Source organism: Homo sapiens, chromosome 4 (assembly GCF_000001405.40).
Source record: "Homo sapiens chromosome 4, GRCh38.p14 Primary Assembly".
NCBI lineage: Eukaryota > Metazoa > Chordata > Mammalia > Primates > Hominidae > Homo > Homo sapiens.
This window is the reverse complement of record NC_000004.12, coordinates 170,059,439-170,084,388: the sequence shown is the minus strand read 5'-3', so window position 1 is coordinate 170,084,388 and position 24,950 is coordinate 170,059,439. Positions and strand designations below refer to the sequence as shown.

The window sequence follows — 24,950 nt, the reverse complement described above, 5'->3', positions numbered from 1 at the left end:
CCATTTTATTTTAAAAAATTAATTTTTAATTTTTTCTGTTGCCATAAAATACACATATAAGATTTGCTATCCTTGCCATTTTTAAGTATACAGTTCAGTGGTAATAAGTACATTTATATTCTTTATTTTTCCTTCACCCTATCTCCCTCCTGTCCTTTCCAGCCTCTGGTAACCACCAATCTACTCTCTATCCTTATGAGATCCACTTTTTTAGCTCCCACAGATGAGGGAGAACATGCAATATTTGTGTTTCTATACTTGGCTTATTTCACTTAACATAATGACCTCCATTTCTATCCATGTTGCTGCAAATGACAGGATTTTATTCCTTTTTTATGGTTGAATAATATTCCATTGTGTGTATACCACATTTTCCTTATCCATTCATCAGCTGATGGACACTTAGGTTGGTTCCATATTTTGGCTATTGTGAATAAGTGCCATAATAAACATGGAGGTGCAGATACTTCTTTGATATATTGATGTTTTTGTTTTGGATATATACTCAGCAGTGGAATTGCAGGATTATATGGTAGTTCTATTTTCAGTTTTTTGAGGAACCTCTGTACTGTTCTCCATAGTGGCTGTACCAATTTACATTTCCATTAAAGTGTATAAAGGTTCCCCTTTCTCTACCCTCATCAGCATCTGTTATCACTTGTCGTTTTGAAACTAGCCATTTTGAATATGGTTAGGTAATATCTCATTGTGGTTTTGAGGTTTTTCTGATTGCATTGGTAATATTGAACTTTTTTAATGCCTTTTGGCCGTTTTTATGTCTTCTTTTAGAAATGTCTGTTAAGATCTTTTGCCCAATTTTTAATGGGATTATTTGGGGGTTTTGCTATTGACTTGTTAATCCCTTGTCAGATGGGTAGTTCGCAAATATTTTCTCCTCTCCTGTAGGTTGTTCTAGTTCCTTGAAGTGCATTATTAGGTTGTTAATTTGAAGTCTTTCTACTTTCTTGAAACAGGCGTTTATTGCTATAAACTTTCCTCTTAGTACTGTTTTTGCTGTCTTCCACAAATTTTAGTATATTGCGTTTCCATTTTCATTTATCTCAGTAAAACTTTTAATTTCCTTCTGAATTTTTCATTGACCCATTCAGGAGCACGTTGTTTAATTTTCGTGTGTTTGCATATTTTATAAAGTTCCTCTTGTTATTGATTTCTAGTTTTATTATTGTGGTCAGGAAAGATATTTGATAAGATTTGGGTTTTTTTATTTGTTCAGACTTGTTTTATAGCCTAAGGTATGGTCTGTTCTGCAGACTCTTCATTGTGCTGATGAAAAGAAAGTATATGCTGCAGCAGTTGGTTGAATATTTTTGTAACTGTCTACTAGGTCTATTAGATCTAGTATGTAGTTTTATCTCACTGTTTCTTCATGTTGATTTTCTGTCTGGATAATCTGTTCATTACTAAGTGAAATGTTAAAAAGTCTCCTACTATTATTGTATTACATTCCATCTCTCCCTTTAAATTTACTAATATTTGTATACTTGGGAGGTTGTATTATCTTGCTGAATTGACCCCTTTATCATTATATAGTGACCTTCTTTGTTTCTTTTTACAATCTTAGGTTTGTAGTCTATTTTTTCTAAGTGTAGCTACACCTACTCTTTTTAGGTTTCCAATTCCATGGAATATGTTTTTCCACCTCCTCATTTTCAGACTGTGTGTCTTTATAGGTGAGGTGGGTTTCTTGTAAGCTGCATATGATTGGGTCTTGTTTCTTTATCCACTCAGCCACTCCATGCCTTTTAATGGGAGAATGTAGACCATTTCCATTCAGTGTTATTATTGATAAGTTAGAACTTACTACTGGCATTTTGTTGCTTGTGTTCTGGTTGTTTTGAGACTCCTCTCTTCTTTTCTTCCTTTCTTACTGTCTTCCTTTGTGGTTAAGTGATTTTCTCTGGTAGTATTTTATAATTTGTTGCTCTTTATTTTTAGTGAATCAATAATAAGTTTTTGTACTGTGGTTACCATGAGGCTTACAAAAAAAAAATCTTATAACAAGTTATTTTAAAGAGGTAACAACTTATCTTGGATCAACTTATCTTGGAGAAGCAAACAAATGCAAAAAACATAAAAAAATCCTCTATTCTTTAACTCCATTCCCCCCACATTTTGGCTTGAGATGTCTCAATTTACATATTACCTATCTTAACATGTTGCTGTAGCTATTATTGTTTTTGATCAATTTGTCGTTTAGGCTTCATATGAGAATTATGAGTGGATTGCACACCATAATTACAATCATAGAGTATTCTGGGTTTGTCCATGTACTTAATTTTACCACTGTATTTTTTACCTTGAAAAGTTTTCTTTTGCACATTAGTATTTTTTTCTTTCAGGTTGGAGAACTCCCTTTAGCATTTCTCGTAAGATGGATCTGGTGGTGGTAAATTCTCTCGGCTTTAGTTTGTCTGGGAAAGACTTTATCTCTCCATCATATTTGAAGGATAATTTTGCTGGATACAATATTCTTGGATGATCGCTTCTCGGCCTTTTGGCTAAGATCAAGTGTACAATATTTTTGGATGGGCCGGGAATGGTAGCTCACGCCTGTAATCCCAGCTCTTTGGGAGGCTGAGATGGGAAGATTGCTTGAGGCCAGGAGTTCGAGCCCAGCCTGGTTAACATAGCGAGGCCCCATCTCAGTCAATCAATCAATAAAAATATATGTATATTCTTAGATAGCAGCTTTTTTCTTTGGGCACTTTGAAAATGTCATTTCTCTTTTTCCTGACCTGTACAGTTCCATTGAGATGTCTGTTGCCAGACAAATTAGAGCTCATGTATGTATTATTTTCTTCTTTTGTCTTGTTGCTTCTCATATCTTCTCTTTGTCCTTAGCCTTTGAGAGTTTAATTCTTATATGCCTTGAGGTAGTTTTATTTGGATTGAATCTGTTTGATGTTCTCAGACCTTCTTCTGTGGCCTGGATATTTATCTCTCTCACGTTTAGAAACTTTTCTGTTATTATTTCTTTAAATAAGCTTTGTACTGCTTGCTTTTGCTCACCTTCCTCTTGCAGACCACTGATTCTTAGATTTAGTCTTTTGGGGTAATTTTCTGTATTTCGTAGGCACTCTTTGTTCTTTTTTCTTTTTTCCCCGACTGTATTTTCACGTAGCCAATCTTCAAGCTTACCTATTTTTCCTTCTGCTGGGTCCATTTTGATGATGAGAGCCTCTAATGAGTTCCTCAGTTCAACAATTCTGAGTTCAGTATTTCTCAGTTCCAAAATTTCTGGGGTTTTTTGTTATTTTTATTATTTCAATCTCTTTGTTAAATGTCTCTGATAAATTTCTGAATTGCTGTTCTGAGTTACCTTGAAGATCACTGAGTTTTCTTAAAACTGCTATTTTGAATTTTTGGTCAAAAAGCTGACAAATTGCCATCTTGTTAGGATCAGTCACTGGATTTTTGCTTTGTCATTTTGGGGAGGTCATGGTTTCCTGTTGGCTATTGTTTCTTGTATGTATACATCAGTTTTTTGCATTAAAGGATTAGTTATTTATTCTAGTTTTGTTTGTTTGTTTGATTTGTCTGGCTTGCTTTGCTTTTTATTGGATATATTTGCTTAGTAAATCTCTATTGTTGGGTCACTGCTTCCTTGTTGGCATCTTCCAAGGTGGCACCTTAAGTCCAGGTTTAGTAAATAATTCGAGAACAGCCTGTCCCAAATCAGGGAGGTCCCAAAGGATTTATTCCATTGGCATGAGATGGCTAGCAAAAGAATTATACCCAGGAACCTCTGGAACATTCCTCCTGCAGTGTGGTGCTGCTGAACAGTCACTCTGTTTTGGCATGCCTTTCGCTGAGTTACAGTGCAGAGTTTCCAGGGCTTGGGATGGTAGTCCTGCCTCCCGATTTTGTCTCTGCCTGTCCTCAGGGATGTTTTTCCCTCCAGGCAGTCATGATGCTTCCAAAGGGTTAAAGGCAAGGACAGGTCTCCAGCCAGGGAACCAAAGATGGTGGGGAAAACTCTTGGCCACCTCAATCTCACTTTTTCCAGTGTAGAAGCCGTGAATTAGGGGGAGTTTTTCCACGTGCTTGGTGCCAGGCAGAATTGGGAGGAGGGGTATCATAGATGCTGAAGTATGCCTTTCTTACCATCTGTTCAGAGTTTTTTCACTTCTCTGTAGTCCTAGGAACTGACTCATCCTCATATTTGAGTTCTGGGTTGTTTCTGGTGTAAATTTTAGCACTGTATATTTGTTAGTGGTTTTGTGGGAGGGAATGAAGTCAACTTGCTTCTACACCACCATTTTGGAACTGGAAGTCTCCCCCACCCTTTTGAAAACACTGTCCTCCTCTAGCTCTCTCAGTAGCATGTTGTGTGGTTCTCCTCCAGCCCACTTTCCCTCCCTTCCTTGCAGTGTCCTCCTCTACCCAGCCATTATTTATTGGAGTTCCCTGTAGCTCAGTCCTTAAACATCTCTCCTTAGTCTATGTACTTTTCCTGGGTATCTTCATTTACATTCACATGATCAACCATATGCCAGTAACTTCCAGGCTCCTTCCAAATCCATTTGTCCATCTATCCATCTGACATCATCACAGGGTGTTTCAAAGGCACCTCACACTAAAACAAATCATCCTGTCACTCAGATATGGATGGCTTTTTGGTTATGTGTTTCAGTGAATGGCACCACCCCCACCATCTATCTAGTTCCATAACCAAGTATCTAGGCATCATTCTTGACACCTCCTCTTCCTCATTTCCCTATTGTCCATAATCATGTTCCATTACTTTTCATTTCCTAATACCTCTCAGTTCTTCTCTACAATTCCTCTGTCACCACTCTACTTTAAGATGACCCTTACCTGTTCCAGGCCTGTGGCAGTAACTTCCCAAACAATCCTAAAAACTTTCTAAACTTTCCACATGTATTCTCACCCTTCTTTCATTCTTTCATACTGCAGCCAGATTGATCTTTTCAAGACGAGTATCTAATCATGTGACTCCTCCTCCCCACTCTCTTCCTAAAATCCTTACTTGCCTCCCTTGGCTCAAATGCCTACATGGTTGGTCTCTGCCCACTTCTGTCTGATGTCACACCACTCTTTTCTCTACATTCTGCCTCAAGACACATAATTATTTTGGTTTTTCAAATCTAACTGTTGTTACCCCGTACACCAACTCATCGCTTCCTCCAGGATGCCTTCCCTGAATTCCCTGAATGCCTAGGTCTTCCTACAATGAGCTCTTATGTCATTGTGCATCTGTACTTAATATCACTCACCACCGTTTTTAATTTGCACATTTATTGGGTAGTTATTTAATTGGTGTCTAGCTTTCCCAGTGGACCAGTAGCTCCATGAGAGTAAGAACCATGTCATTTTGCTATTTTATCTCTGACACTTTACACAGGCCTGGCGTATAGTAAACATTTAATAGATTTTCAAAGAAGCAATAAAAGGAATAAATGAATGTTAGCAGCCAAACCTCTGTTCACCTTTCTCTGGAACAGGAGTTGGCAAACTATGGTTTGAGAGCCAAATCCAGCCCTTCATCAAATTTTGTAAATAAAGTTTTATTGGAACTCAGTCACACCCATTCATTTATATATTGTCTATGGCTACTTTTTCACTATAGAGGCAGAGTAGTTGCAGGGTAGTTGCAACAGAGATACTATGACCCGCAAAGTGTTTACTGTTTGGCCCCTTATAAACAATTTGCTAATTCTTACTCTAGAACCATGTGAGCTCAAACTAAAAAATGGGCTTCTGAGCATGGAAACAGTACTAACCTATGCTGACTAACAAGCTAACCTATGCTTCTTTTGTTAGGTGTTTGAAATGATCATTAATCCTGGAGATAATGTCCTCCTAGATGAACCTGCTTATTCAGGAACTCTTCAAAGTGTGAGTATACATTTTTACTAAAGGCAACTCTCTTGTAGTAAATAAGAAGAAAACTTATAATAAAGGTTTTATAATAACTTTATTATAATAAAGTTAATATCTTATTAACTTTAAAATAATCTGTCCACAGAAAAATGAAATAGCATATTTTATCCATAAGCAGGATAATCTTAAAGGATATATACAAAGTATGTGAAATGTATTCTCTTCTTTATACATTTCTTTTTTGAAATCCAAGTGTATAGGCATTAAAATTAGATTATGCAAAATCATGTCCAATTCTCTTAATATTTTACTTGAAATGTAACTTAAATTACAAAAATTTATTTTTTATTACTATCTTATTACCATATGCATAAGTACAACTATGTTATATGTCAGTTTAGTATACTTATATGGTATAATGACGACTTTCCATTCCAAGGTTAGATCCGTGGAACTGTGATTTACAGAATGAGGAAGCTGATGATCTGACTCTGCTCTGCACTGGTCAGAGCACATTGCTGAGCATTAGGTTTGTTTGGGGCAGTCTACTTTAAGACAGAAATGTCCACAACTGGAGCATACTCAGAGAAAGATAGTCAGAGTAAATAGGGAATTGGAAGCCATATCATATGATGAATGGTTGTAGGAACTGGAGCTATTTTCCCCAGAAAGAAAAGACTCAACAGAGGCATGAAAACTGTCCTCAAATACATAGAAGTTAGCCATGTGACAAAAGAATTAGATTTATTTGTACATGACCTTAGGTTAATAGAACTGGAACCACAGGGAAACAATTTCAGCTCTGTATAAGAACTTGCTAACCATTGGCCTTACCGGACTTCATAATGGGTTACAACATTGCCCATCACTGTAGGTGCTCAGTCACTCTTGACTGCCACCTAACACAAATATGGCTAAAGTAATTCTAGCTTAGAGTAGGGGAATTCAATGCGATGACTTTTATGCTCTATTGATTCCAACTTCATGGATCCTTTTATTTTTTTCAAATTTTATTTTATTTTTATGAAAATCAACATATAAAGCAATATATAAAACAATTCCATTTGTAATAGCATCCAAAAGAATAAAATACGTAGGAATAAATCTAACAAAGGAGGTGGAAGACTTGTACATTAAAAACTGAAAAATTTTGCTGAAAGAAATTAAGCAAAACTCAAATAAATGGAAAGACTTCCACAGTTCATAGATTGGAAGACTTAATATTGTTAAGATATTAATACTACCCTAAGCAATTTACAGATTCAATACAATCCCTATCGATATGCCAACAGCCTTTTTTGTAGAAATGGAAAAGCCAGTCCTCAAATTGATGTGAGTTTAAAGGACCTAAATAGCCAAAATAATCTTGAAAAAGAACAAATTTGGAAGACCCCCACTTCCCAATTTCAAAACTGCAAAGCTGCAGTAATCAAACAATGTGGTACTGGCATAAAGACAATCATATAGACCAATAGAATAGAACTGAGCATCCAGAAATAAACCCACAAATCCAGTTGATTTCAGTAAGGGTGCCAAGATCATTCAGTGGGGGAAAGGATAGTCTCTTCAACTGTGGTGCTGGGACAACTGGATTTCCACATGCATATAAAAGAACTTGGACCCTTACTTCACACCATATGAAAATTTAACTCAAAATGGATCAAAGACCTAAATATAAGGGCTAAAACTACAAACACTTAGGACATAAGGGCAAATTTTTATGACCTTAGATTTGGTGGATTTTTTAGATATGACCAAAAATATGAGCAACGACAACCACAAAAATAGATAAATTGAACTTGAAGATTTAAAAGTGGTTGTGTATCAAAGGACATTATGAAAACAGTGAAAAAAGAGTCTATACAGTGGGAGAAAATATTTATCATAATATATCTGATAAACCTTTAATAACCAGAACATATAAAGAACTCCTACAACTCAACAACAGAAAGATAAACAACCCAATTTAAAAATGGACAAAGGACTTAAATAGACATTAGTCTGAAGAACATGTGCAGAAGGCCAATAAGCACATAAAAGATGCTCAACATCATTAGTAGAGAAATGCAAAGCAACATAAATCAACGTATGAAAGCCGCAAGTTCCATGATCGTGTAGTGGTTAGTACTCTACAATGTGTGACTGCTGTACCTGCAGTCTGATTATTTGGCAAGACTCAGGCTTGGGGAAAAAATTTTTTTAAATAGAGAAAAGCAAATCAAAACTACTGTGAGATACTACCTCACACATACCACGATGGCTATTATTTAAAAAAAAATAGTGAATATGTGAAGAAACTGGGTTCATTCACTGCTGGTGGAAGGAAATGTAAAATGGTATGGCCACTGTGGGAAAGTTTGTCAGTTCCTCAGAAAATTAAAATATAATTACCATGTGACCCACAATTCCACTCATGGCTATATACCCAGAAAGGATTGAAAACTGGGACTCAAACAGATACTTGTATACAAATGTTCATTGCAATATTATTTACAGTAGCCAAAAGGTAGAAGCAACTCAAGTGTCCATCAGTGGATGAATGGATAAATAAAATGTGGTATATACATACAATGGAATATTATTCAGCCATAAGAAGGAACACAGATCTGATACATATTACAGTATGGATGAACCTTGAAAGCATTTTAACTTTAAGAAGCCAGACACAAAAGGACAAATATTGTATTATTCCAATTATATGAAACATCTAGAATAGACAAATTAGTGGAGATAGAAAGTAGATGAGTGGTTACCAGGGGCTGGGGAGAGTAGAGAATGGAGAGTTATTGATTAATAGGTACAGAGTCTCTATTTGGGGTGAGGAAAAAGTTTTGGAAATAGACAGAGGTGATGGATGCACACATTGTGAATGTAATTAATGCCACTGAATTGTACTCCTAAAAGTAGTTAAAATGGACTAGACGAGGTGGCTCACGCCTGTAATCCCAGCACTTTGGGCAGCTGAGGCTGAAGGATTACTTGAGGTCAGGAGTTCGAGCCCATACTGGGCAACATAGCAAAGCACATGTCTACAACTTTTTTTTGTTTGTTTAATTAACCAGGCAGAAGACTGAGGTGTAAGGATTGCTTGAGCCCAGGAGCATGGTGTTACAGGGAGCCATAATTGCACCACTGCACTTCAGCCCAGGCAGCAAAGTGAGACCTTGTCACTTAAAAAAACAAACAAAAAAGGCTTAAAATGGCAACAATTTTACCACAATAAAACTAAAATAAAATAATTACTTTTTCTCAATGATTGGATACTCATAATTTGTTTTCCTAAACTCCTAAGATTTAAGATTACATAATGTCTATGAATGTAAAACCGGTGTCTACATATAAAGCGTGCATATACACACGCACAAATGTTTTCACATACCCAAACAGAAAAACAGAAACTGTATGCCAAGCTTTGAGGAAATATGCTAATAAGCAGTATGTGTTTAGTTTATGGCCCAGTATTGATTTGCTTTATTCATGGTAGATGTGCTTCATAAGGTTAAGGCCTTTTAAATTTGTCATAAGGAGGATCTGAATTGTTCTTTTTTTATGCGTAATTCTACATTTGACTGCTAAAAGAGTGTTTGCTTTTCATTTGCAATTTTTTTAGAACCTCATTCAATTATTATTTCTTAAGTTCCTTTTTTTTTCTTTTTAATGCTCAACCATGAATGAGATTCCACAAATTTGTATAAAGCTAAGTCTATAAGCAATGCCAGTACAAGCCAGTTCAGCCTTAGCAATTGGTAAAATATGGAAATTCTACTGTACTGCCTGGTGATCTGCTCATCCCATTCAGTGTCCCGCCACTACCCTGGCTTCCCTGACCCCTCTCCTAGGACCACCCTGAACCTCCCATGTTCCAGAGTTAATGTCGGCATAACAGGGGGCCTACAGGTCCCCATTCCAGGCTGCGCTGTATCTGATATACCCATGCTATACCACTTGTTAAATATTTTTAATATCACCTCTGCTTGTGACTGTTTTATATATGAACACAACAGTAAATGAAACATATGATTTACTCTATCAAAAAACATTCATTTGTAAAACGCCTACTTCATAAACCAGTAATAATTATAATTATGAAGATAATTCATGGGTACTCATCAGGGACATAAAGATGTCAACAAAAGATACTGAGGCTGACTGCTGGGGGGAGTCAGGAAGGGGGCAAGGGCTTGAAAAACTACCTATTGGGTACTATGCTCAGTACCTGGGTGACAGGAGCAATTGTACCCCAAACCTCAGCATCATGCAGTATACCCATGTAACAAACCTGCACACGTACCCCTTGAATCTAAAATGAAAGTTGAAAAAGTAATAATAATAAAGGAAAAATCAGAAAAAAAGATAATTCCGTCAGAAGAAGCTAGGTTATGCTGTAACCAATGACCCCAGTACAGTTTTATTTCCCTTACGTTCCATATCCACTACAAGACTGCTGGAGCTCAGTTCCATGCCATCTTTCTTCTAAGCCCCAGATTGACAGAAGCAATCTCTATCTGAAACATGGTCAATCTTAGAGCAGAGGGAAAAGAGACATAGACAACCACAAGCTGGATTTTAAAGCTTCTTACTGGAAGGAACATGCATCACTTCTGCCCCGAATTTGTTGCCCACTGCAAGACACATGGCCATACCTGACGTAAACGGGGCAAGAAAGAATTATATAATTCTCTGGGAAGGGACAGGAGGTATTTTTGAACAATAATGGTATCTGCCCCAGGGGCGTGGCAGCTCACGGCTGTAATCCTAGCACTTTGGGAGGCCAAGGCGGGCGGATCACGAGGTCAGGAGATCCAGACCATCCTGGCTAACATGGTGAAACCCCATCGCTACTAAAAATACAAAAAATTACCTGGGCGTGGTGGCGTGCACCTGTAGTCCCCAGCTACTCGGGAGGCTAAAGCAGGAGAATCACTTGAACCAGGGAGGTTGCAGTGAGCCAAGATCACGCCATTGCACTCCAGCCTGGGTGACAGAGCGAGACTCCATCTCAAAAAAAAAAATAAATAAATGTGTAACCTCAACCCTCAGGAGCTCAGAGCTGGTTGCGGGTTTATATATTTTTAAGGGTATGAATGAGCAAGTTCTTAGTTAGAAAGAAAAAAAAAAAACCAATAGCACTTACATTTGTAATCATGACTGACTCAGGCTTTCTTTTGTGCTCAACAGCTGCACCCACTGGGCTGCAACATTATTAATGTTGCCAGTGATGAAAGTGGGATTGTTCCAGATTCCCTAAGAGACATACTTTCCAGATGGAAACCAGAAGATGCAAAGAATCCCCAGAAAAACACCCCCAAATTTCTTTATACTGTTCCAAATGGCAACAACCCTACTGGAAACTCATTAACCAGTGAACGCAAAAAGGAAATCTATGAGGTATTGTAGAAGAATGGGTTAAAGTAGTTGTGTTCCTGTTTCTCTGTGACTTTTTAGAAGAGCACTATGCAAGCTCCCTTTCTTCTTAGCCTTTTGCTTTCAAGGAATATAATTTTTAATAAAAGGAAATCATATATGCTCAGGGTCCTAATAAATTTAGACACAATAAATTTCTGCATCTTTCATTAGTTATGAGATTTTTCTTTCCCCATAATTGATGTTTTAATATAAAAGAAACAGCATTCTTGGCCTGATGTTAAATTTTTTGAGATTATTTAATATTTTATCCCAAGTTTGATTTCCATTATTTTCTGTGTTGTTAACTTGTCTGTTCTGCTTCCTACTCCTTGTCATCTTAGGTTACCAAGAATTCTTTAAAAATGAGAGGCATGCTCCCCTTTCATAAAATCTATTTGAGATACCGATGATGCCTAGCTTTTCACTATAAACATTTTTTTAAGTATCAAACATATATTAAGCTCCCCAGAAATCTTTGAAAAATAAGAGAAATGTGCTTTTTGGAAAGTCTCTTTTTATGTACCTGACTGTGTCCCCAACCTTTCACTACAAATAGCTTTTTAAAATAAATACCAAACCCATGTTAAACTCTATAGAATTTAGTCACATCCAGTGGAATCATAGGAAAGATTTCAGCCAGTTCGTTTTACTTAGAAAATTTTTAGGTTCAAAATATTGCCTCAGGTTGGGTGCAGTGGCTCACGCCTGTAATCCCAGCACTTTGGAAGGCTGAGGTGGGAGGATGCTTGAGCCCAGGAGTTCAAGACCAGCCTGTGCAACATAGCAAGACCCCAACTCTAAATATATATATATATATACACACACACATATATATACACACACACACATATATATACATGTATCTATATAAACACACGTATACACACACACACATACACACACACAGTCATGTTCTTATGTTTGTACTTTCCAGGCTCTGTCCTAAGTTCTCTTCTCTGTTTACATACTCACCAGACAGCCTTGTCCAGTTTCGTAGCTGTCTATTCCATTACGTACACGATGACCGGCACATTGCCTGGCCCCTACCTCTTCCCTGAGGCCTATGCTTCTGTATCCACCTTTCTGCTGATACCTCCACAGAGATGTCTAAAAATCATTTCACACTTAACATGCCCAAAATAGAACTCCTGGTTTTCCACAGCCCCACCCCAAACCTCTGATCTACAGCCTCTCACATTCTCCATCTCCATAAAGAGTGCAACTATGAATGGTTACCCTTTATTCCTGTCGTTCCCTCCTTTGCCCCCCATCCCCCACATCTTGCTTCTCCTGTGGACTCTACCACTGAGCTTATCCAAGTCCATCCATTTTTCTCTGTTGTCATCACTGTCCCCATCTTCTGAGCCCCTGCCTGCCCTCACTGGACTCCTCCAATGCCTTCTTCACTACACCAGCTGCATTTCGCCCTGCCCTCTAACCAGTCACACTCTTCACACAGCAGCCAGCCACATCTGTCCCTGCAGAAATGTCAGTATAAAGCCCGGCTCCGGGTTCTCCTGTTTACAGCCCTCCGGTGGTTTCTCCTTGCAGTTAAAATAAAGCCCAAATTCTTTTATCTGCCTTGCAGAGCTAGGTAACACGGTCGGTCTGTTCTCAAGCCTTCTCTCTTATCATTCTTCTTGCTGCACTTGGGGCAGCCGCACTGTCCTTTTTAGCCCTTAAACATGTCAAGCGTTTTGCTTATCCTGGGGCCTTTGCCCACATTCATCCCTCAGTCTAGATTCTTCTCTGATATTTGCACAACTGACTCCTTCCTGTCATTTTAAGCTCTGATATTACCTGGTCTGGAAGGCCTTCTCAGTGATTGAACCTGAAATAGCTACCCTGTCACTCTCTCCCTCACCTGTTGTAATGCTCTGCCCAGCACTTAAAAGCCACCCATCTAGCTGGGCGCAGTGGCTCACGCCTGTAATCCCAGCACTTTGGGAGGCTGAGGCAGGTGGATCACTTGAGGTCAGGAGTTTGAGACCAGCCTGGCCAACGTGGTGAAACCCCATCTCTACCAAAAATACAAAAATTAGCTAGGTGTGGTGGTGCATGCCTGTAATCCCAGCTACTCAGGAGGCTGAGGCAGGAGAATCACTTGAGCCCAGGAGGCAGAGGTTGCAGTGAGCCAAGATCGCGCCACTGCACTCCAGCCTGGGCGACAGAGCGAGACTCTGTCTCAAAAAAACAAAATAAATAAAACCACTCATCTAATGTTTATTCTGCTCATGATCCACAGGCTTATGTATATTCTGTCTTTCCCCCTGGAATCTAACTTCTGTGAGAATAAGAGCCTTTAATGCCTTGTTCCTCTTTTTATCCTCGTTGTCTAAGACAATAGACACACAGTAGTTCCTTGAATGAGTACAAAGAATTATAATTCCAAATGAATTTAATTTTAGATAACTTTTAAGAAATAAATAGATTAAGAAATAAACAATTACTTCAACCTTTTTTAGCTTGCAAGAAAATATGATTTCCTCATAATAGAAGATGATCCTTACTATTTTCTCCAGTTTAACAAGGTAAGTGATTATGTGAACTTACTTCACTATTAGAAGATAAGTTGTTTTAAGTTACTGCACTGTGTTGGGTATTAGGCTGACTGCTGAGTCAGAACTAATCCACTTTTACATGGAAAATAAATCAATTATGATTAATTTGCTACTACTTTACTTTTCAGTCTTCCAGTTTTATTATGGAATTAGTACCTTTCTTTTTTGGTATTACTGCTCTTTCCAGAAATTACTTACCTTCAAAATAGTAGCTGGCTTTCTATACCAGGCACTGGGACAAACAGAGTAAATCAGGGCTGATGGACGTCTTAAACTCCACATCCAAGTTAACAGCTCCTCAAACATCACCCAGGGATGTGAACTGAGTTTCATCTTTGGCCGTTGACTTCTGTGTCTTGGTGGTGGCCGATTAGAATGATGTATGAGAAGGATTAGGAAGCCGTGCTCAAGCTGAAGGAGAAAGAGGCTGTGCTCTGTTAGCAGCATCCCCGATGGACACAAGAGGAGGCATCACAGGCAGCGCATCCCACATTTGCCACCCTGTCATTTATGTCCTGGATCTTACTGCAGAGTAATGGGCATTTAGATTGATTCTCACACTATCATGTATGTGAGCTACCTTTCATGATGACTTTTTTCTGATAGATGATGATAATGTTAAGACCAACGCCTGATTCTTCAAAAGCCAACACTTTCTTTGCTCTTAGGGCTGCAAAGAACATATACTTGGATTCAGCTTGCCCTTAAATATACTGGGAAGAGATAAGAACTCTTGATTTCTCTACAGGGTTTCCTAAAACATCACTTTTGCCTCCTGCCTCCCACCATCAGCATGCCAGCAAATTTCCTTTCTCATTTGTAGCTACTTTTAAAGTAAATGTTGAAGTCAGTCTTTCATGTTGACTAATTTCTCATCTTCATTCTCATCATTTTTCTTTCTGTCGGTCCTAAGGATCAGCGTTCTCTCTCTGAACACCCTTCAGTGCTGCTGGCCATCCTCATTATGGTCTTGTTCAAACTAGTGTTTCTTGAGTCCCTCCTGTAAGTCTGTTAATCCTGGATTTCAACCTCTGGGGCAAAGAGGGCCTGTTTGAAGTTTCCTTAAGTTCATAATAATGGCATCTGGAGCAAATAATAAGCCCTTGTGTGTGTTTTTGGCAGAAAAGCCATGAAGACAAGCAGATGCTAATAAAAGAATCTGCATCTTTGTTTGTTATTCCATGTTAAAGGGTTGAAATAAAGGTAAGAGAATATTTGTACTGTTGTTATCCAAATCCATCTCCTGTTCTACTCTCTATTCAAAATAATCGTACAGTGACTAACAGAGCTTTCAGACCAACAGTATTTTTTATTTTTCATTTTAAGTTCAGGGTACCAACATTTCTTTCCATGGATGTTGATGGACGTGTCATCAGAGCTGACTCTTTTTCAAAAATCATTTCCTCTGGGTAAGGCCCTGTGTCTCTAACTTGACGCTAGATCTAATAGAGCCAGAGATAGTACCTCAGTATCTTTTAGTCTAGACAATTTTTTTCACTTAAAATGCTTGTAGTCTACTTGTCTTAAAATACCAGTTTCATGATTAATATTAACACAGGCCTTTTTTTCCCTTTATTCACCTGCAATAGTCAAAGATTCTTGGCTGTTTATCTAAAGTTGTAGTCGGACCAGTCAGGTTTTTGATATCAGGTATGAAAGGGCACATTTCGAAATACGTAGTCGATCTTGTTTTAAATGTACACTTAAATTTGTTTTTGAAATAAGAAGTAGTTAGTTTTATTAGAATGTTTTAATTATCTAGATCCTTTTGTCCCCAGGTCACAATTGTCTGTCTAATGAAATCAGGAAAGTGATATGTATTAATTGTTAATATGGAATTGGTATCGTGCCTTTTCTCTTTCCACGTAGGTTGAGAATAGGATTTTTAACTGGTCCAAAACCCTTAATAGAGAGAGTTATTTTACACATACAAGTTTCAACATTGCACCCCAGCACTTTTAACCAGGTAAGGACAATTTAGGAAATCGATTTTTTTTTTGTAATCAGATTAGAATTTTAAAAAAATAATAGATGGTAGAGCACAGGAACTCCAAACCTGTTTAGTGACTCATAGTTTGCCTTCTTTGCAGACATGCTAATCTTTCTAAAGAAATGGGTTGGAATGCATTTTAATTAAAATAAAGTAAACTTAATTTAAGAGAATGTGTAAATTTCCTTACAAACTTTGAGAAATTATTGGATCCGTCTGTAACACAACCTCTCAGGTTGCAAGAATATGAATAGAATAGAAAAGTTTGTGTAGAATAGGACACTTGTTTGATATTGTATGTTCCATAAAGTGCAGATGGCCCCATGTTTTACCAAGTTGGAGACTTTTTTTCATATTTTTTGTATCTGTTATCAACAGACGTTCACTATCAATTTATAACATTTTAATTTTTTTTTTTTTTTTTTTTTGAGACAGAGTCTTGCCCTGTCACCCAGGCTGGAGTGCAGTGGCATGACCTTGGCTCACTGCAACCTCTGCATCCCGGGTTCAAGCGATTCTCCTGCCTTAGCCTCTCGAGTAGCTGGGATTACAGGCACACGTCACTATGCCCGGCTAATTTTTGTATTTTTAGTAGAGACAGAGTTTCACCATGTTAGCCAGGCTGGTCTCTAACTCCTGGCCTCTGGTGATCCACCCCTGTTGGGCCTCCCAAAGTGCTGGGATTACAGGCATGAGCCATCGCACCCAGCCTAGAACTTCTATTTTAAATAGAAAATCTCCAAATATGTCATGTAACTTTACACATCTACTGTACATTTTTATATTTAGAGAAGCAGTACAGTATGGCAATTAACAGCGCGGGTCAGGAGCTGGATAGCCTGACTGATTTCAGGCTGTGGGACTCAGAAAAGTTAACTTAACCCTTGTGCCTCATTAGTAAAATAGAAATTTATAGAGATTACATTTGGTAAAATATATTAGTATCTTACAACAGTGCCTGCTACATAACAAATAGTATATCAATATTTGTTATTTTTACTAGTATTATCATTGTTATTAATTGACATTTGTTTTAAATCACTGACTATATAAGCTAGGCTCAGCTTGTTATATCTTATTGTGGTTTACATGTAATCAAAAGTGAGTTGCTTTTATATATGGCAAAAAGTACATTTTCAGGGGATGAAACATGGTATTTATGATTTTATCTCTTTTAGCTCATGATATCACAGCTTCTACACGAATGGGGAGAAGAAGGTTTCATGGCTCATGTAGACAGGTATTGTATCATTTCTTTAAATATTTATGAACAAAACAGGAGCCCAGTGAACATAGTACAGATCACCTACAGTATTGATTTATTCTTCCTTCCTAAGTATCCTCGGAAAGGAGAGACAATAGGAACGGTCTATTATAAGTCAAAAGTCTATTCATTTTGTTAGTTCTTCACCTAGCAAGTCTTCTCAGCATCCAAGGTGTGGTTTGAAAGCAGTGTCCACCCACTCCTAAGGTAGTCCAAAATTCCCACCAGGTTAAGATTTACTTACTTAAATGATGTAATGGGTAAACTTCATACATATAAATATTTTATTTAATAATGATTAATTGTGAAGGATACATGACACGGGATTTGGCTCAAGTAAAGATGAAGGTGAACATAATTTCCCTAAATAGTCTGTATATTGGTACAAGTTATGGATTACTTTAGCTGTGTAAATATGGTACCTCCTAGGACATTTAGAAATAAGGAGGAATGGGGTATTCGCATTCCCAGACCGGTGATTCATTATTTCAATAGTATTGTCTTTTATCCTGAGTGATGAGAACCAGTATTTAGACAACTAAACACAAAGATTGATCCTGCTACTTCTAGGTTCCATATTTTACATAGAAATGGACTTCTCTTTATGAATTTTTATTTTGTAATTATTCTACAATGAAGGAAAAAACACAGCAGTTAAAAGTTTTTCACCAGACAAGTGAAACAAATATGCTCCATTCTTCTATCAAGCATTCAACATTTTAATCAAGATAGAAAACAAATTCTTATAGCCTGGACTCTGGAGACTGTTTTGCTTCTGCAATCAATGTACTGAGCACATCCATTTCATTGTTTTCTTTTTCTAGGGTTATTGATTTCTATAGTAACCAGAAGGATGCAATACTGGCAGCTGCAGACAAGTGGTTAACTGGTGAGTGGAACGTATATTCGTCCTCATGATAAACAGTAGCATCTGTAAAAGTAGGGGATAAACACTGAATATTACTAACAATCCTGGTGGAAAAGAAACAGTCCAGGAGTATTCTTGCCAAGGAAACATTACACCATAAATCATCTCAGAAGCAACATTTGATAAACCTGGGCACAGACCTTCCTATCCACTTTACCTGTCTGCTGCAAAGAATTTGTGATTAAAAAAAAAAAGATCTAAAAATCAATCACTAACTTACTTAAAGCTTAATAATATCTATTTTCAAAAATTTTAGTTATTTCAGAATTTTACCCCAAAGGGTAAAATTGTCAAACCATGCTTCTCTAACTAAGCTGTACAAAGGCAGATGTCTTACTGACAAATTATTTGCCTTCTAATCATTAACCTCATTTATCTCTGTAGTATTATCTATTGCTAACTTGATTGCAAAATGTTTTAGATTCTTTTTTTATTATGAAGGTCAAATTAATCATATGGCTTTAATTATATTATTAAAATGCCTTTGATATAAATAATAGTAAACCAAAAATAGCAATTCCTTATTTCTGTCCTATCTTATTTTCTATAAAGTCTTGGTAAAAACAGAATTAGTGGCTGAGTGCAGTGGCTCATGCCTGTAATCCCAGCACTTTGGGAGGCCAAGGTGGGTGGATCACCTGAGGTCAGGAGTTCCAGACCAGCCTGGCCAACATGGTGAAACCCCATCTCTACTAAAAATATAAAAATTAGCTGGGCGTGATGGCGGGCACCTGTAATCTCAGCTACTTCGGAGGCTAAGGCAGGAGAATCACTTGAACCTGGAAGGCAGAGGTGGCAGTGAGCCAAGATCATGCCATTGCACTCCAGCCTGGGTGAGGCAAAACTCCATCCAAAAAAAAAAAAACAGAATTAGTATCTTTCTGACAATAGCATTATTTTACCACTTTGCATAATAGTACTGAAGAAAAACTTTGAATCAACAGCAAGTTCTTTTTTTAAAAAGATAGTAATTTAAATCAAAGATCATTATGCTTGTTTTTGATTTCTCTATCCTAATACTCAATGAAACGTAAAGCCCACAACTGCTTCTGGAATTCTTGAATTTTAAGTATTTCTTTTCATAATTAATTACATTCTGATAAAAACGCTAATCCACTGGACATCTAAACTATTACAAGAATACTAGGATTTGTTGTAATGCTGGAAGAATCCACAAATAATGGAAGAATCCTCTTCTAAATTGAAATAGCCATGTTTGTCTAGGTATGGTTCTAAGTGAAGGAGAGAGGAGTGGGATTTCTTGCACTACCCTAAGACTGACTACATTGTAAATACGCACACGCGAGCTATTCACTTGCCCACCCTACCCCTCCCTTCTTCCCTCACCCACAGTAACTCTTTGAAATAAAACCCAGAACATCAATTTTGAAGGCTCACAAAATGATATTTTTAAAAATGCTATAATTGAAGGAACTTTTTTAGGAATACTAGTTTCTACTTACTATACTTATGCCATTTAACAACACACTTTGATATCATCAAAAATGCCTTCCTTTGGAAGACATTTATTCTCTTCTTTTGTTTGTAGGTTTGGCAGAATGGCATGTTCCTGCTGCTGGAATGTTTTTATGGATTAAAGTTAAAGGCATTAATGATGTAAAAGAACTGATTGAAGAAAAGGCCGTTAAGATGGGGGTAAAACTGGGAGGTGAAGGGCTGGGAAACCTAAGGAAAAGTTATACTTTTTCTTTAATATTTTGCTTGAATAGAATGGAAAGAAATGTTTCTTGTTGCCCACCAGCCAACTCATAATGTTCTAATATTAGATATTTTATTGCATTATCAAAATCGTAAGAGGTTTTTGGGTTACGTAATTATCCAGCTGGTCTAAATTAGTGGAAATATAGTTGTTCATCTCAGCTACTGATTAGCGTAGTGGCTGAGGGTAGTCTCCGGAGCCACACCTGTTGGGTTTGAATCCCAGCACCACCCCTTAGGGGATGTGTGGCCTTGAATAGGTTACCCTTTCTGTGCTTTGTCTGTAAAACAGAGGTAATAAGAATCCCTCTCTCATAGGGTTGCTCTGATGATTAAGTGAGTTAATATATGTAAAGCCCTTAGACTAGTATGTGGCACATACTCAGTGCTCAGTAAGTATTAGCCACTAGTATTTAAAATGAAGGGTTTGTTTTCTGATGATGGAGATAAAGTATACTCGTGGTAGGATATTTGGAAAATGTATAAAAGCATAATGAAAATTTTTTAAATAGCCCATGATTTTACTACCCAGATTTTGTGACCATTTATAGTATAGTTCCTTGAAAAGCTTGTTCTTACAGTATTTTGGCTGTGCACTTATGTTACATAGTTAAAATTATACAGAAAAGTTTGTATCCTGATTTTTTTTTCACTTAAAATTAGCTCATAGAATGTATTCTAGGTTTCTTTTTTTTTTCCTCTTTTTATATTTAAATTATAAATCTACTTAGGTTTCATTGGAGGCATCAAGTAAGCTGAAAATTCTAAATATTTTTCTGTGTAGCTTTCCAGTTTACCAGATAAATTATTCCTTCTCCATTAATTAAAGCCATTTGCATGTTTGTCAGTCTTTTATACACACTGAAACCCTACTGCTAGATTCACTTTTGTCTTGAATCATAAGAACTAAAGGACAGATTGGATTGATGATGGCAAAGTGCCATGCTGGTGCATAAGAGACAAGGTGCTCTAGAAGTTAGAGCTAGAGACAGACTGCCTGGACTTCAGTCCTACCTCCACCACCTTGGGAAAGCTATTATCCTCTCTTAGCCATCTTACTTGAGGGCAGGACTCAGACTTCATTAATTGTTCTAACCCTAATCACAGCACATAGTAGGTACTTGATAAACAATTGACTTACTTCAAATAAATGCATTGTAGTATAATAAATCAATTTGATACATTCTTTTCTGTCAATGCCATTATCCTCAAAATATGTGGTAAGTGGTTATCTGTAGGTATGTCTAAGCGAGGCGCTAAGGATATAGACTTTGTTTTTACTCTACTCTTCTTCAGTCCTCTTCATTTATCCCATATATCCTGCTACATGTTCTTTTTTTACCTTTTCTAAATAATCTCCAGCTTTATCCCCACTTTGTCAGCCCAGATGTTGGTTATCTTGTGAAGAGATTACCACCACTCCCTTCTCTTTCAGCTCCTTGCTTCTAGTACATCCCAGAACTTTTCCATGCTACTGAGAGAAATGATGGTTTTCATTTTATTTTCAACCAGGACAGAGAAACCCATCTTCTGCCTTGAAATCTTTTGCCCAGAGTACTCCAAATCATATCACTCCCAACTCCTCTTGTCTTAGCAGACAGTGTAACAAGCAGTTACTCAATGCTGTTGAAGATCATGATTATACTAGTCAACCCTAACCACCACAGAAGATAAACTTGAAAATCTCAAAGACTTAATAAGCAATAGAAATTTATCTCTGACTCACATATAATTCTAAGATGTGACCTGCAACCCTCTGTGTTCCAACAGTGATTCAGAGACCCGGGTTTCTTACATCTCATTGCTTTTCATTCTTCAACACACAGATTCCAAGATGGCTACAAAATGGAAAGAGCATGGCAGATCACACATGGGATGATTTGTATGGGCCAACCTTAGACATCTCTTACCTGGCTTCTACTCACATCCATTGATTAGGATTCGCTCTCATGGTCACACACAGCTAGAAAGAGGCCGGGGAATAGGGTACATGTGATGCCCAGGAAGAAGAGGAAATGGAGCTTACAGTCAGTGAGCTGTCTGCCTGTGTGGCCATCAAGAACAGCAGCTGTTCCGACCACCCCATCTTGACACGCTTATTTAATACTTTTATTTCTTCATTTTATACATTACATTTTTTACCTCCTTTCAGTTCTTTGAATGCAGCAATTTTCTTCCCATCTCAGGGCCTTTACTCTGTGTATCTTTGCCCTCAAATACTGCTCCCTGCTTTTTGCCTGATGTAATTTATCTTTCAGGCCCCAGCTTAAAAGTAACTTTCAGACTTATTAACTTAAAAATTACTTTTCTAGTTAGATTAAACATTTGTTTGTATTTATTACCATTTATCTTTCTTTAGGAAGCTGTCCTTTCTACATTAAAGCTGAAATTTGAGTGTTCTCAGTTTTCGTGTATTCCTGATGTTTTGAGAAGAGATAGCATTTGCCATATTGATTCTGAACATTTTTTCAGTTTCTATGTGTTTAGTTTTGTTCATTGTATGACATACGCAATTTTTATATAAATTAGTATTTTTTCTTGTGATTTCTTTAACTGCTTTTAAACTTAAAACATCCTTCCCTACTCTGAGATTAGGCTTAACTATATTATCTTTGAGTTTTTCTTTAGTGGTACATTACTTATCTTCCACAAACTCTCTTAGGTATTAATGCTCCCTGGAAATGCTTTCTACGTCGATAGCTCAGCTCCTAGCCCTTACTTGAGAGCATCCTTCTCTTCAGCTTCTCCAGAACAGATGGATGTGGTGAGTGTAGTATTCTCCTCAGAGTAACACTAGCTAGCAGTTCTGTTTTTTTAATGCACGTGTATACTTTGTGAATTAGAATATTACTTAATATCTGTTTGGGTTTCTAAAATTCAGATATTTGTTGACCAGTCATGAACTATCATTAAAAGACCCATTTTACTTTGTTGCTAGACTTCTATAGAAATGAGACTAAATTGGAGTTAAAATTTATTGTCTGCATGAATAATGTATCACAACCTACTGAGCTGCGTAAATTGTCATGTTATGAGGAAAACTTCTTTCCTTCCTTTATTGAATTAACATGAGCCAGAAGTACAAATTCATGATGGCTGTCACTTTCTCTGAAGAAAAAAGTATCAGCAAGGGTCAAATAGAATAATATTCTGAATCACAATCTAGCTTTAACCAAAATAAGCTGTGTATGTGGAAATCAAACAGAAGAGCTATAAATTGAACAGTGCCATTAACCTTGAGAAGAGTTTATATTTATCCTTGGAAAGGGACATTTTTGGCATGTTCTTTATTTACTTGCTTTCTCATGTCATTAAATGTGTTTTTCATAAGGTCTCTCTGTTTTAATGTATTAGTGGAGTTGGGCAATTGAATCTATATAAAATGCAGGTGAGAGATTATGTAAAATCTAAAATAATCCATGTTATGGATAAAATGGAAAATGATCTTGAAGGCCACGAGAACAACAACAACAACAAAATCCTGAAAATCTGATGTACTTCAGTCTTCATATTTTAATAGAAATTGATGGCATCCTGCACAGATAAAGTTGATGTTAAACTTGACTTTTCAATGCCTTCTCTCAACCTTAGACAGATACTCTTTGTTTGGATTTTTAAAGTTATTACAGAGTTTTCCAATATAGTATCCTAATTTAATTAATTCTAATTTTTTTTTTCTGTTTTAGGCCTTCCAGGTATTAGCACAACTTATAAAAGAATCTTTATGAAGAAATTAAACTAGGTTGGGCATGGTGGCTCACACCTATAATCCCAGCACTTTGGGAGGCAGAGGAGGGAGGATCACTTGAACCCAGGAATTCAAGGCTGCAGTAAGCTACGATCACACCACTGCACTCTGGCCTGCATGCACTCTGGCCTGCATGGCAGAACAAGACCCTGTCTCTAAAAAAAGAGAAAGAAATCAAACTAATCATGCTGCTCATGGATTTTTCCAATAAATTTCTTGTTTTGGCAGGAAGAAATGAACACTGGTATTAGACTTAAAGATTAAATTTCCTCAAACATGTCCTATCTGTAGTAGTTCAACTAGACACCTTTTAAAGTGCCTCTAAATTCATCAGATGGCCAAACTGTATTTATAATCCACTTAGGCATTTTGAAAAACTTTCAACCTGTAAAAAGTTACTTTTATCTTGGATTTATTATGAAGAACTTTGTAGTTGCTTTGTAATTTCCCATAAATTGTCTTTGAAACTAACATTTTACACTGAATTATTTTGAGATTTTAAAGAAGTAATTAAGTGCAAAATGGTATATAATGTGTACTTTTTCTACTTTTAGGAAAATTTAATGAGAGCTTATTGCAAAAATTGTTATAATTTGGTCATTATAAGTGACTTTTAGTAAAAGTACCATAAACCTTATGTTATGCCACAGAAATTCCTTTAAAATAAAATTCTTAAACTAAACATACCTAAAGGCATCAGACCCATTAATTCTAAGTAAGGAGGGGAGATCATGGACTTAGGAAAATTTACTACATTGTATTTTCATAATACTACATAATTTACAAAAATACATTCTTATCAATTATGTAATTTAAATCTACTACAACCCTTTAAGGTATTAGGAAATATTTTTTAACTATTTTTTTCTCACCTTTTAAAATCTTTATTAAAGTAAGATATGCTCATTTTAGAATTTTCAAACAATCCAGAATGTATAAGGAATAAAGTAAAAGCCACTCACTGTCTCACCCCTGGTGATAACTGCTATAAGCATTTAGCATGCTTCCTTTGCAATGTTCTCTGCATACACATGTAATATCTAGAATAGGATCTCATTGTGACAGTGTATCATAAATACCCTGTATTCATTTTCTATTCATTTTCTGTTTAACAAATTGACGAAGTGTCCTATGACCCAATAATTGTAAAGTTGTAAGTATCTTTGCGGAATTAGGAAGTTTATGTCATTATCATTTATGCCATCCCTTGTGTATATAAACATCTCCATCACAGTTATTATTTTCCTGCACGTCTGGATGAGATGTTACATCTTTCAACAGCTAAAATTCTCAAGCAGAAATCTCAACCTCAAAGATCAAAGCAGCTGACCCCAAGCCCAAATCCCTATTTCTAAGGCAACCAGTGGTAATTATGTAGGACTGATTGAAGAGACGCAGGGCCTGGAGGAGGACCAAGATGAGGAACCTGACAATTCTCTTCACTGTGGGAACAGAAAATTATAAATTAG

General features: G+C 36.9%; 1 protein-coding gene and 1 long non-coding RNA gene across 9 annotated transcripts in view; one reads left to right on the top strand and one right to left on the bottom strand.

Moving 5' to 3' along the window:
• AADAT (aminoadipate aminotransferase) overlaps positions 1-24,167 on the top strand; it is a 34,071-nt gene extending 9,904 nt beyond the window's left edge. For all 8 annotated transcript variants that reach the window (XM_047415763.1, XM_006714231.3, NM_001286683.1 and 5 more), the window contains 10 exons: positions 5,806-5,880; positions 11,044-11,253; positions 13,737-13,802; positions 15,159-15,241; positions 15,702-15,798; positions 17,001-17,062; positions 17,911-17,975; positions 19,564-19,670; positions 22,396-22,497; positions 23,420-24,167. In XM_047415763.1, coding sequence (XP_047271719.1) covers positions 5,806-5,880; positions 11,044-11,253; positions 13,737-13,802; positions 15,159-15,241; positions 15,702-15,798; positions 17,001-17,062; positions 17,911-17,975; positions 19,564-19,670; positions 22,396-22,497; positions 23,420-23,461 — 909 coding nt within the window. In that variant the 3' untranslated portion in view covers positions 23,462-24,167. The remainder of the gene's footprint in view (positions 1-5,805; positions 5,881-11,043; positions 11,254-13,736; positions 13,803-15,158; positions 15,242-15,701; positions 15,799-17,000; positions 17,063-17,910; positions 17,976-19,563; positions 19,671-22,395; positions 22,498-23,419) is intronic.
• LOC107986326 (uncharacterized) lies at positions 17,683-21,659 on the bottom strand. Its single transcript, XR_001741918.2, has 2 exons — positions 21,460-21,659; positions 17,683-18,017 (listed from the first exon to the last, which is right to left on the bottom strand). It is a non-coding gene; the product is annotated as an uncharacterized LOC107986326 (long non-coding RNA).
• Positions 24,168-24,950: the final 783 nt, after the last annotated feature.